General features: G+C 39.5%; 1 long non-coding RNA gene across 1 annotated transcript in view; it reads left to right on the top strand.

Moving 5' to 3' along the window:
- Positions 1 to 14,170, top strand: part of LINC01501 (long intergenic non-protein coding RNA 1501) — a 120,315-nt gene that overhangs the window by 77,196 nt on the left and 28,949 nt on the right. The window contains exon 5 of the long non-coding RNA NR_034157.1: positions 3,767 to 3,912. This is a non-coding gene — a long non-coding RNA (long intergenic non-protein coding RNA 1501). The remainder of the gene's footprint in view (positions 1 to 3,766; positions 3,913 to 14,170) is intronic.

Genomic DNA, 14,170 nt, shown 5'->3' with positions numbered 1-14,170 from the left:
TTTATGAACTTGCAGTGACAATAAAGACGTATTTGGATGTCTTATTCTGTATAGCAAAGGAAGTAGCTCTGCTAAGGAGAATGCTTAAAAAACGGATCTTGGCTGGGCGCAGTGGCTCATGCCTGTAATCCCAACACTTTGGGAGGCCGAGATGGGCGGATCACGAGGTCAAGAGATTGAAACCATCCTGGCCAACATGGTGAAACCCCATCTCTACTAAAAATGGAGATGGCAGGCGCCTGTAGTTCCAGCTACTCAGGAGGCTGAGGCAGGAGAATCGCTTGAACCCGGGAGGCAGAGGTTGCAGTGAGTCAAAAAAGCGCCACTGCACTCCAGCCTGGCGATGGAGTGAGACTCCATTTAAAAAAAAAAAAAATAAGATCTTATTCACTTTTTGTTGCTGTTGAATAACTTTTAAATTTGTCTTAAAAATTATATGTTAAAGCTGAATTATTGAGAAAATATGGGACATATTTCTCAGGCACATTTAAAATGTTAAATAGATCCTTCCCAAGTTCTAAGGAAATTAGATACTTCAAAGGAGCTATCAATATGTGTATTGTACATAAACTTGTTCACTGAGAATTGCATGAAGATACACTTAATGGTTTTTGTTTGGAAATATATTGGTTATAATATTACTTAAAATGTATAATAATTGATTTAAATCTTTCTATTAGCTTAATATACTAGACCTGATCATTAATTCATTTAAAATGGCCAAAGAAACATGTTAATGATTTACAGGAAGTTAAATAAGTGACTTTGAGACCAAAATATCTTTCAACTAGTATAGTTAGAAAAGATTTTGCATTTAAGATCTTCACACCTACTCATTTGGAAAGAAGCTAAATTACTTATTTAGCCCTATTTCCAACTCTGTATTTTGCTAAAGATGGTTTCAGTGCAGTAGGGTGGTTACTAAAAAAAAGTGATGGAACCAATTGCAAGAGCTGGGAGAAGATTTGAGACTTCTTTTAACAAATGGAGAGTCAAATGTTACCAAGCTACTGGAAACACATGAAACATAGGGATATCAGTGAATTCCATCAATGCAGCTTGCTTTAAAGGTTTTCACATTATTTCTACCACGTATATGTAATACAGATACACACAGCTGTATAGAACAACAATAACAAATATATGTTTTGAAAAGTGAGTACTGGATTAGGTTAAAAGTTGTGCTACTTGTCAGTCCTTCTCTGACTTGTCCTCCATGTCTTTTGCACCATCTTTCCATATACTCTTATTTAACTATTTCTCTGTCCTGTATTCCCTGTTACTCATTGAAGGATATAGGCCCTAAAACATAAACACCAAGCAGGATAAATAAAAACAACACATCTAGGCCTATCTTAGTCAAACTGCAGAAAATCAAAGACAAAATCTTGAAGGAAAAATACATATTATATATAGTGAAACAAGAATAACAATTACAGCAGTGTTCTCATCAAGGTCCATGCAAGCATGAATAGAGTACAATGAACCACACAAAGGTTTGAAATCTTTTTTTCAGCAGCCTAAAATTCTATATCCCAGAATTCTATATTCTAGATTCTATATCCAAAAAGTAATTTTTTTTTTCAAAAGTGAAAGAGAGAGTGCCATCAGCAATATGGTGGAATAGGAAGGCCCCACCCCTAGTCCCCTGACAGAAACACCAACTTAGCAACTATCCATAGTTGGGAATGCCTTTGTGAGAATCCAGGAGCCCAGTAGAAAGGCAGTAGCATGCCAGTGGAGCCCAAAAACTGCATCAAGTAGGGTACAATAAGCAGATTTACTTTGTCTGTGTTGCTTCTCCCCCAAGATGACACAGCCACACACTAAGAAGGACTCCCTTGACCCTTGATTTACCAAGTGGGAGAAAGAGAGACTAAGGCTTATGTTCAGTTCTCCTAGCATTTGGGGGCAGTAACTAAGAGGTGCACCTCTGACTTGCCTCATGTGAAACACTGGGAGAATTGGCATGACTAGAGCGTGGGGTTAGCTACAAATGGGGAAAGAGGCAAGGACTCATAGTGACAGTTGTGCAGATCTTAGCAGTGGCTCTGCACCCCCATCAGCAGCCTTACCCATACAGGACCTTCTCTAAAGGCATTGCTAGACTGAGGAGACAATCTAACCAACTGAAACTAACCATGGAGTATGGAAAGTGGGGAAAAGTAGCATTACAGTGGAGAAATCTGACAAACACTTTGTTGGCCAGGTCAACATCAACAGTATAAGTCATGTTGATAGCATGTATTCTTGACATGATGTGTTGAGAATAGCAATTTACCTCCATGGTTTTCCTTTAAAAACTTCATAACCCTAGTCTAATTATTTTAAAAATGAGATAAATTATAATTGAGAGACATTTTCCAAAATATCTGACCAGTATTCCTCAAAACTGTCAAGGTTATCAAAAACAAAGAAAGTCTAAGAAATTATTACAGCCAAGCAGGGCCTAAGTAGACAGGACAACTGCATGTAACATAGAATTTTTTTTTTTTTTTTGAGACAGAGTCTCACACTGTCACCCCGGCTGGAGTGCAGTAGCACAATCCCAGCTCACTGCAACCTCCGCCTCCCAGGTTCAAGCGATTCACCTGCCTCAACCTCCCGAGTAGCTGGGATTACAGGCATGTGCCACCACACCCGGCTAATTTTGTATTTTTAGTAGAGACAGGGTTTCTCTATGTTGGTCAGGCTGGTTTCAAACTCACAACCTCAGGTGATCCGCCTGCCTCAGCCTTCCAAAGTGCTGGGATTACATGCTTAGCCCAACCTGATTTGACATTTTACCTTCTTTAGGTTATGTCCTCCTTCCTGGGTAGGAACTTGTACCTGCAGCCTCTCTCCAGCTGAATGGACTGATCCCTGCCCTCACCTGACTGTTCCATCCCCACACCTATTGCCCCTCCTGGAAGCAAAAATGGCTTTGATGGAAGGTGACTGGGCCCCTGTGAGAGGACTCCACAAGGCCTTTCTGAGATGTTCTCTCTGTGTGTATTTCTTACCTACAATCTATTCCCCTAATTTTTAATTTATTACTCAAGATAAGTAGGCCCTTTTGTTCCCTTTTTTCCCTGTTTTCTCCCTTGAGGAAGTCACCAGTATAGACTCCCTGAGGGTTGTGTTTTGGTTTTGCGGTTGTTGTTCCTATAGAATGAGGAGTGTGGAAAAGGTCACACGCACCCCTCTCCTGTTACTTCTCCCAGTCCAGGGATCACATGAGCTGGTCAGGACCGTCTTAGCTCTTTCCAAGCACAGCCAGGAGCACAAAGAGAAGAGCTATGTGGAGCTGCACCATGCTGTGTTTTGAATATTTTTAGATAATTCGTTGTTCTGCTTAATGGTGAGCCACCTATTCATCAAACAATTCATTTTAAATGTGTGCTGGTGTCCTTTCTCCTGCCTTCTTTCACTGCCTCTTCTTTCCTCTCATTTCCATTATAGCTCATTCTCTGTTCATGTTGTGAGGTTCTGGGATAGGAAGGCTTTCATGTGCAACCTCACTTTACCAATTTAAGTGTGAAATCACACAATGCTTCCTGGAATTCCTCAGGCTGCAAGGCCGGATGGCAATTTAAATACAGTTACCGAAGTTAAAATCCACACAACAGTTCTGCTCCTCCATGTGGCCCAAAGGTACTTTCAAAAAGCTGATAGTGAGCATGTTTATTTCTAGCCATCCCTGGAGAAGCAGCAATAGCTTTGGAGTGTCACTTTTAGATTTTTAGAATGCACTTTTAACAAAAGCAAACTTTTTGCATCCTTTCAGGGTCACCTGAATGTGGAAAAGTTGAGTTGGAGCAAAACTGGCACGGCCATACTGGATGGACCTCAGCATGACCAGGACACATTTCAGCTCAAATCCCCTGTGCCAAGAACACATTCTGCCAAGGACCACCACCTCTTCCCACAACTGTGAGTGGATTTATGTCATCACAGGAGGTGCAAAAACGTGTGGTGAGGTAAATGAATTGGGATGTCCTTGGCTGCCTGAGCAAGAGGGCAACTTTCCTGCCTTTAGAATAGAGAAAACACAGCAGGATAATTAAGAGGATGAGACTTTGGTTCCAACAGACAGTGGCTTCTCCTTCCCTAAATTGCCCTTATTTTGTAGTAAGTTATAATATGTTTATTTTCTACCACCTTATTACTTCACTACGTGAACCAAAAATAAAATCCTAAAGCCAACCATCTGAATGGACCTCTCCTTTCAGCCAGGGTATTCCAAAGTTAACCTGAAAAACTGGTTCAGGCCAGAATGGGAAGTGGGGTTCGGGCAGGCCTCATTATTCTTTCCTCCCTTTTGGAATTCAGGAAAAGCCAACCACCATTTGACATCAACACAGACCTTAAGTCTGACAAGAAACATTTACAATCTATTCTCTCTGAAGTCTGCTACGTGGAGGCTTCATCTGCATGAAAAAACTTTGGTCTCCACAACCCCTTATTATAATTCAGACATTTATTCCTTTCTATTGCTAATAACTCTTTCAATGAGTTGCCAATCAGCAAATTTTTAAATATACCTATAACCTAGAAGCACTTCCCCCAGACAACACTTCAAGTTTTCCTGCCTTTCCAGACCAAGCCAATGTATATCTTACATGTACTGACAGATGTCTCATGTCTTCCTAAAACGTATAAAACTAGGCTGTGTCCTGAGCACCTTGAACACATGCTCTCAGGATCTCCTGAGGGCTGTATCACAGGCATTGGTCACTCATATTTGGCTCAGAATAAATCTCTTTAAATATTTTACAGAGATTGACTCTTTGTTGACAATTACATACGTGATGCTACTATGTATCATATACTTCTTGTGTGCCAGGCCCTATATTAGATGTTTTATCAACACAATTTCATGTCATTTTCACAACAACCCTACGAATAAATACCATGTATTTGGTTGTGAGACACTGAGGCACTAAGTGATTACGTCACTTGTCTAGGTTCACTTATCTAGTGTTGGGGCCTGGATCCAAGCCTAGGCAGGCTGACTTCAGAGACAACCCCACTCTGGGCTATATTCTTAGAAAAGTCACAGCTCTTAGCACATGGAACACACTGGAATCTGAAAGACCCAGCATGGCAAGCCTTCAGCTTCATGGGAATGAGCCTATCACAGTTTCTCTGAGACTACAAAATGGCACCATCCTATCCACATTGCAGGGTTGAGCTGTGAATTCCAGAGAATCTCTGTGGGGTATCTGTGCCCAGCACCTCCTAAATAGTTGCTTATTCATGGACTCTGTGTAGGATTTACATCATCTACATTTTAAAAAAATACATGAATCCCCAAAGAAACAATTCTCACACATATTTTCCAGATGTGAAACAACTGAAGAGGAACGATTGCAGTAAATATAGTCAGCAGAAAATATTTTAATATATATTTCAGAATAATGCTGGAAGATAAATGGTATTCAAAATGTAAAGGATACACTAACATTTTCAAATGGTATGATCTAAACTTGAATTATCCATCCACAGCTTTGGTAATTACTTTAGCAAATTGCAGCCCTTTCCTCTGACCAAATTTCCAGTTAGGGAGAGCAGGAGGCCTGGTGCCTGAGGAAATGAGTTATTTATAGGGACCTGTGAAAGTGAACTTCAGCTGTTCCTGCCTCTGTGCAGATGAGAGAAGGTGGCACTTGGGTTTCAGTCCTGTAGACATCGCCTATTGACATTCTTCTTAGTCAGTGAGAAAAGAAAATTCAGCATTCTTGACCGCAAAGAACAAAAATGGAGTGGTCTAGTATGGGATGAATTTTGTCATCCCAAAAGATATTAAAGTTCTCACCTCCAGCACCTGTGAATGTGACCTTATTGAGAAATGGTCTTTTCAGATGATCAAGTCAAGCTGAGGTCCTATGGGTGGGCCTTAATCCAGTATGACCAGTATCTTTATAAAAAGGGAACTTGGACTCAGAATTTAGACATCCACACAAGAGATGTGCAGATGAAGACAGAAGTTTGCAAGCCGAGGAACACCAAAGGTGGCCAGCAAAACACCAGAAGCTGGGAAAGAGGCCTGGAGCAGTTTGTCCCTCATAGCCTTGGAAGGAACCAACACTTTGGACACCTTGCCTTCAGACCTCTGGCCTCCAAAATTGTAAGAGAATCCATTTTTGTTGTGGAAGTCATCCAATTTGTGGTGCTTTGCTACACGAGCTGCAGGGGATTAACGTGCAGGCTTTGACAATGAGCTAAATTCTCCCTCTTGCACACTGCAGAGGTCAATGCAATAAATGCTTGCAATGCTGGGTCTTTCAGATTGCAGTGTGTTCCATGTGCACTAAAATGCTGTGTCAGATTCTGAACTTCAAAAGACTTAGTTTGGAAGAGTTTCAAATGCAGATATGAAAACATAGCTGAAAGGCATAGGCTAGAAGAGCTGGAGTGAGGACAGACTGAAGACGGCAGTATTATTGTATTCTTGAATAGTTGAGAAGCTAGTGCTAGCTAGTTAGGAAGGGATTAGAACTAGAGAAGCCAAGGAAATGTCTCCAAGTCTCCATTTCCAGAGATTCCTCATGGATTCAACTCAACCAAACTTATTCCTCATGTGCAAGACCATCAAAGGTTGACAGAGAAAGAAGCTGCACAGTTAGAGCACACATTTGAGAAAGACAAAGAAATGCATTAAGAAAAACTTGGAGCTGGGCACGGTGGCTCATGCCTGTAATCCCAGCACTTTGGGAGGCTGAGGCAGGTAAGTCACTTGAGATCGGGAGTGTGAGACCAGCCTGACCAACATAGAGAAACCCCATGTCTACTAAAAATACAAAAATTAGCTGGGCATGGTGGCGCATGGCCGGAATCCCAGCTACTCTGGAGGCTGAGGCAGGAGAATCACTTGAACCTGGGAGGCGGAGGTTGCGGTCAGCCGAGATTGGACCATTGCACTCCAGCCTGGGCAATAAGAGTGAAACTCTGTCTCAAAAAAAAAAAAAAAGAAAGAAAGAAAGAAAGAAAAAGAAAGAAAAAGAAAAACTTGTAGAAAATTGTGGCAGAGGGGCAGAAAGGTGACCTTTTCTGATAATGTTGAATTATTCATAGGTTTTGGCGTGTTCTCCCTGAAAATTCAATGCAACTTTAAAAACTGCAGAAATTATTATCCACATTCAATCAAAAAACTTGTTACAAGGAAAATAAGAGAGTGGGTATGAACCTACAAGGAGATATCTTGCAAGTGGGAGGACTTGTAGAGAAAAGTTTGAATGATACTGACAAATCAAAGGACATCAATAAAGCATGAAAGCCAATTCCTGCAGGGAAACAAAGAAGAAAACTAGCCTTATTAACATTAACCAGGCCCATACATAGGATGATTATTTAACTCTCAGGATAGAAAGGAATATACAATAATAGCATAATAATATAATAGCAAGAAAGATATGAATTATCTAAAAGAAAACTGATGCTCAGAGATCTTAAGTGATTTGCTTCAGGTCACAAAGCTAGTGCGATTCAAAATCCAAAAATGAACACCAGTAAGTCTAACTTTAAAAGCCAGGATTTTGGACTATGAGAAAATCACTGGAAAGAACATGACTTCCACTTTTGAATCAATAATTTATATTGCATTGAAAGCTTTGTTATTTCTGTCTGGAATATCCTTGTATCTACACATTCTGAAATCCATTTTTTTTTAATAAGAAAGATGAACTGTGTAGAAATAAAGTTTGAAATAAAGACTGACTCAAAGTCATTGAGTTCAGGGGTATTTCTTGGAAAAATAAATCCACTTCCATCTGGGTCCCACACCATCTGCTTCTCTAGCTATGGTCCAGGATATCAGATAACCAATGGTTTAAAGTTGTTGCCAAATCCAGTGAATTTTAAAGGACATTTTAATCAGAAATAGGCTTCCAAGAAGCTGTCATATATTGTCAATATGATTAGAAGCTGGCAGGCAAGAGAATGTCTTGAAAATTGACAGAAAAACAACCTCAAGTAGAATAACACCAGTGCCACAAAATGGTTGTGACTTGGAGGCTGGCCAGGCGCAAGTGCCTATGTTATGATAAGAACTCTAGAACTGGTAGTCACCTCTCTTTATAAAATTGCCAATAAGTTTATAATAAAATATTGTCTTCAAGGATGTTACAATATTTTAATCAATTGGCCAAAAGAACAAATTATTGAGGAAACAGAATAGTCTGACAGAGAATTTTGCTGAGTTTTATTCTCATGTGTGCAGTTGACTTTCAGCCTTATAGTTGGAATGGGATTTTCTTTTTTCTTTTTTTCAACTTTTATTTTAGATTCAGGGGTACATGTGCAGGTTTCTTTTTTGTTTGTTTGTTTTATCAACTTTTATTTCAAGTTCTGGGGTACATGTGCAGGATGTAAAGGTTTGTTCATATGTAAATGTGTGCCATGGTAATTTGCTGCACAGATCAACCTATTGCCCATGTATTAAGCCCAGCATGCATTAGCTGTTTTTCCTAAAGCTCTCCCTCTCCCCAACCCCCTGACAGGCCCCACTGTGTGTTGTTCCCCTCCCTGTGTCCATGTGTTCTCATAGTTCAGCTCTCACTTATAAGTGAGAACATGTGCTGTTTGGTTTTCTGTTCCTGCATTAGTTTGCTGAGGATAATGGCTTCCAGCACCACCTACGTCCCTGCAAAGGACACAATCTTGTTCCTTTTTCTGGCTGCATAGCATTCCATGGTGTATATGTACCACATTTTCTTTATCCAGTCTACTGTTGATGGGCATTTGGATTGATTCCATGGCTTTGCTATTGTGAATAGTGCTGCAATGAACATACACATGCATGTATCTTTACAACAGAATGATTTATATTCCTTTGGGTATACACTCAATAATGGGATTGTTGTATCAAATGGTATTTCTGCTTCTAGATCTTTGAGTAATTGCCACACTGTCTTCCACGATTGTTGAACTAATTTACATTCCCACCAACGGTGTAGATGTGTTCCTTTTTTTCTGCAACCTTGCCAGCATCTGCTGTTTCTCGAATTTTTTAATAATTGCCGTTCTTACTGGCATGAGATGGTATCTCATTGTGGTTTTGATTTGCATTTCTCTAATGATCAGTGATGTTGAGCTTTTTTTCTTATGTTTGTTGGCTACATGAATGTCTTATTTTGAGAAGTGTCTGTTCATGTCCTTTGCCCACTTTTTAATGAGGTTGTTTGTTTTTTTCTTGTGAATTTAAATTCCTTGTAGGCTCTGGATATTAGGCCTTTGTCAGATGGATAGATTGCAAAAATGTTCTTCCATTCTGTAGGTTGTCTGTTCACTCTGATGGTCGTTTCTTTTGCTGTGCAGAAGCTCTTTGGTTTAGTTAGATCCCATTGGTCAATTTTTGCTTTTGTTGCAATTTCTTTTGGTGCTTTGTCACAAAATCTTTGCCTGTGCCTATGTCCTGAATGGTATTGTCTAGATTTTCTTTTAGAGTTCTTATAGTTTCGGGTTTTACATTTAAGTCTTTAATCCATCTTGAGTTAAGTTTTGTATAAGGTATAAGGAAGGGATCCAGTTTCAATTTTCTGCATATGGCTGCCAGTTCTCCCAGTACCATTTATTAAATAGGGAATCCTTTCCCCATTGCTTGTTTTTGTCAGGTTTGTTGAAGATCAGATGGTTGTAGGTGTGCACTCTTATTTCTGAGTTCTCTATTCTGTTCTTTTTGTCTATGTGTCTGTTTTTCTACCAGTACCATGCTGTTTTGGTTACTGTGACCTTATAGTGTAGATTGGAGTCAAGTAGTTATCTCTTAATGAGTATCCAACAACCAGGTACCTGCACACATTCTCGTCAACTGTCTTATCAACAATGGAAGGGACAGGCATCATTTATGACTTCCTCAATGTAGAAGAGATAAGAGTCTCTGAAATGAACAGTTCGCAGAAGGACAAATATTACCACAAAAGATGGAAGAGAGTTATTTTGGAGGCAATGACTTTGTGTTCATATGAGTTCTCAAAGTCACCAGCAGTGACATTTCTGAAATGTGGTTTAGGTTCCAGTTCACAGATAGACTTTGCTTCCAGAAAAGCCGGTCTGATGTTGAAGTCTCAGCTGTAGGTGTGCATGGTCTTCATTGTGCCAGGTGCACCATCTTGCAGAATAAAGGACACATATTATTTTATTATGGAAATCACACACACAAAAGCAGAATGTAATGAGCTGCCATGTACACATCACCCAGCTTCAACAGTTATCAACTCATGGCTAACTCAAAGCGTGATGGTTTTATTTAAAGAAAAATCTGGGTGCTCGCCTGTCTCAACTTTTCCTGTGTATTAGTTCACTCACATGCAGTGACCAATATTTTTAGATTTAGGTTTAAGGGGGAGAAACTGCTGATTCAGAAAGGCAGAAGTTCCTAAATTGAGAGTTAAACCGATCATTTTTACTAATAATAGGCTAATATGGACAAAATATAAAGCATGTAACAACTATATACATTTGTCCAGATGTATTCGGATTGGATACAAAAATTGAACATCATTTTTAGCAAGAAATAGTCTTCCTTGGGCAGGGCATGGTGGCTCATGCCTTTAATCCCAGCACTTTGAGAGGCTGAGGCGGATGGATCACATGAGGTCAGGAGTTTGAGACCAGCCTGGCCAATGTGGTGAAACCCTGTCTCTACTAAAAATACAAAAATTAGCTGGGCATGATGATGGGTGCCTGTAATCCCAGCTACTCAGGTGGCTGAGGCAGTAGAATCACTTGAACCTGGGAGGCAGAGGTTGCAGTGAGCTGGGATCGAACCATTGCACTCCAGCCTGGGTGACAAAGTAAAAAAAAAAAAAAAAAAATTCTTCTGTGTTATTTCTTCATTTTACACTCTCTCATTACCTCCCTTCACACCATGGCCATGACTTGCTGAATGAGCCTGTCAATTCATCAAGGTTCTTATATCAGATGTTTAGACATATCCAACAAACAAAACTGAGGGTCCTAGATGGGGTACTGCCTCCTGGGGACCATAGTGTTTCTTGAAAATGAATGTTTATCTCACCTTCCAAGCCAAATCCACTGTGCAGGCTGCATTTGTCCTGCAAGTTGCTGGTATGAGACCCTGCCTCACCTCAGTCTTCTCATTTATTACTCATCACAATTGTGCATGCATGCATTTTTGTTCCTATTTAACAGATATTCCAGTGGAAGCTCAGCCTCAAATCTGATGACACAAATCACTTTTATGTCCTTACATCCTTGTCACCTCAGCTATTTCCAAGACCGCAACCTAGAAATTGTGAGAAGCCTACCCATGACCACAGTGACAACGCAGTCTTCAGTGGTTCAGCCTCCTGCCCCCTCCCAGTGCCGGTGTTCCCAAATGCAAGGGGATTTCAGACATTCAGCTTTTCATTTACCTCCAAGGCACAGATGCCGAGATGTCCCCATGTCTGTCTTCAGAGTCTCATTTGCAAATTGGCAGCTTCATACCACTCTCGCTATCTGCATTGCTATATTTACACCTGAGCTGATGTGTACCCGGGGAAAGTGTGCTATGACCCAGTGCTTGGGTGGCTCATCTAAAGCCATCCAGAGTCTCTGACTCCTGGTGCATGGGGAGCCTTTCTGGGTCATCTTCTCAGCTCTGCGCAGCCACTAATGCTTGCCTTTTAAGACTGTAGATGAAAAGGGTCAAACTCTGAAAAATATTTGAAGAGAATTCTTCTGAGCCAAATATAAGGGACCAATAGCCTGTGACACAGCTCTAGGAGATAATGAGAACACGTACCCAAGGTAATTGAGCTACAGTTTTGTTTATACATTTTAGCGAGACATAAGACATCAGTCAATACAAGTGAGATGCACATTGATTCTGCTCAGAAAGGCAAGACAACTTGAAGCGGGGAGAAGGGTTTCCAGATCATAGGTAGATTCAAAAATTTTCTGGTTGGCAATTGGCTGAAAAAGTTCATCTAAAGACCTGGAATCAATAGAAAGGAATATCTGGGTTAAAATAAAGGTTGTAGAGACCAAGGTTTTACCATGTAGATAAAGCAAAATGAAACAAAAGTAAGAATTGAACTTGAGAGGCTTTGAATATGGAAGAGGCCCAAGCCCAGGAATACAGGAGGACCCTAGAAGTAGGAAAAGGCGTGAAAATCATTTCTGCCCTAGAATCTCCAAAAGCCCTGCTGACACCTTGACCGATAAGAAATATAATAAATTTATTTCATTTTAAGCCACTGAGTTTGTGATAATTTGTTACAGCACCAATAGGAAGATAAAACATCCTGCCCCATCACCCCTCTTCGATTAGTCCCCTTTTAACTCAATTGCTCTAGCAATAAAGATTTTAAAAAGCAACAATAAATTCAATGAGGTATTACGTACATTTATGTAATCACAATAGCTTTTTCATATATTTGAAAAATAATATATTTATATAAATGCATATGTATAAGAGTGTCATTAGAGTTAGGATAAACCATATGAAACTACTATCTATATAGGACAGGAATGGAATATTAGCAATCTGATATACTTCAATCTTATATATATGTGGTAGACAGCATTATTTCATGTATCAATAATGGCTGGTGCATACTTGGTTGTGAGGACAGCTGTTAGGTACTCTATAGCCCCACCATAGTTTTGGTCCATACTTTGGTCCAGACTTTGGGAATCATCTCTCTGAGGATAAAGATAGCTAGAAGATAAACATATCTATAAACCTATGTTTATAGTTCCTACTGCTTCTTCCTAGAGCATATAAGTGATCAACTGGACTGTGAGGGAAACAAAAAGCATGCTTTATGACAAGTGACACCACTCCTTAGCGTGTCAATAGATTTGCCTTAAGAAGAAATGTTTCCTCTCAAATTAGTGCAACTGAATCTTAATGTTCCTATGCTGATATGTGTTCATGTGTGTGCACATATGTGTGAAGTCAGTGAATTGGAATCCACCTGCAGAAAGCCCAGAGTAAGCCTAAGGAAATGAACCTTTGGGAAAGTCAAAGCTTTCTCTAACAAGACATCTATGTGTTTAAATAAACCAGGGCAATGAGACAATCCCAACCACTTTCATTTTCCCCTAACTCAACAGGAGAAAAAGAAAGCTAGTTAAGGGAGAAAAGAAGATGATGTGAGAGAGAAGGAAGAGAAAAAGGAGGAGGTGGAGGAAGAGGAGGAAAGGGAGAAAGGAACAAGAGGAAGGAAAGGAGGGAGGGAAGGAGGGAGAGAGAGAAAATATAGAGATCAAAGAAGAGAAGCTGTTAGTGTCACACAGTTCACATTCCCTTCAGATATATTGTTCCTTTCGAAAATAGGCTTGTGATTCCCAGATAATAATATTTGATATTATTAAATCACTGATAATGATGTATTAAATTATTTGTTTTGCTACTGCTATTGAATACATGTTAGTTAACTAGTGCAACAGCCTAAAACTACAGTAAAAGCCATTGGATCTGACTAAGTTTACTTTTTAGCATTATCTGAGAAATGACTGATTTAGCTTTGGCAGTAAAGTATATGTCTAATTTGTCACTGTCAGATTCAGAAAAGCTGGGTTGTTCTTTGATTTATAATATAATAAAGGACTCTGTTTATCATTGATTTTAAAAACCTGAACTGATGTGCACCCGAGGAAAGTGTGATATGTCCCACTACTTGACTCAGTTTCTTTAACAAATCAATTTCTTCAAAAAAAAATAGGAAATACGCTGAATTAAAAAGGATCAATGGGATAAAGCAAAGAAAGTTTGTGGAATATTCTCCATTAAGAGTCCACAGAATCATTCTGCTCTTAGGTTCAGTAAATAACATGACTATTAACTCGCTCAGGCACCTTCTCTCTCCCTTTCACTGCCCCTGCTCATAGGCCTACTCTTTAAAAGCTGAAGCTAATAACCTAATTTATTGAGCACCTACTATAGTCCCAGACACTCTATCATTTTATATGCCTTATTTCACTAAATTCTGATAACAAAACTACATGGATGATTTTAACATCTCCATTTGCATTAACTGAGGATTAAAGAAGTTCAAGTGACTTACCCGAGGCCACATAGCCACATAGTAAATAGTAGCAGAATAAAGATATAAATCTATGATAAAGCATATACATACACATACACACATACATTTACATATGCATACATATAATATTGAATTATGATTAGGAAAAATAAAGTAAGGTAAAGAGAAAGAGAGTGAAAAGGGATGCTATA

Source organism: Homo sapiens, chromosome 9 (assembly GCF_000001405.40).
Source record: "Homo sapiens chromosome 9, GRCh38.p14 Primary Assembly".
Lineage (NCBI taxonomy): Eukaryota > Metazoa > Chordata > Mammalia > Primates > Hominidae > Homo > Homo sapiens.
The sequence above is the reverse complement of the archived record's forward strand: the minus strand, read 5'-3'. Positions and strand labels throughout refer to the sequence as shown.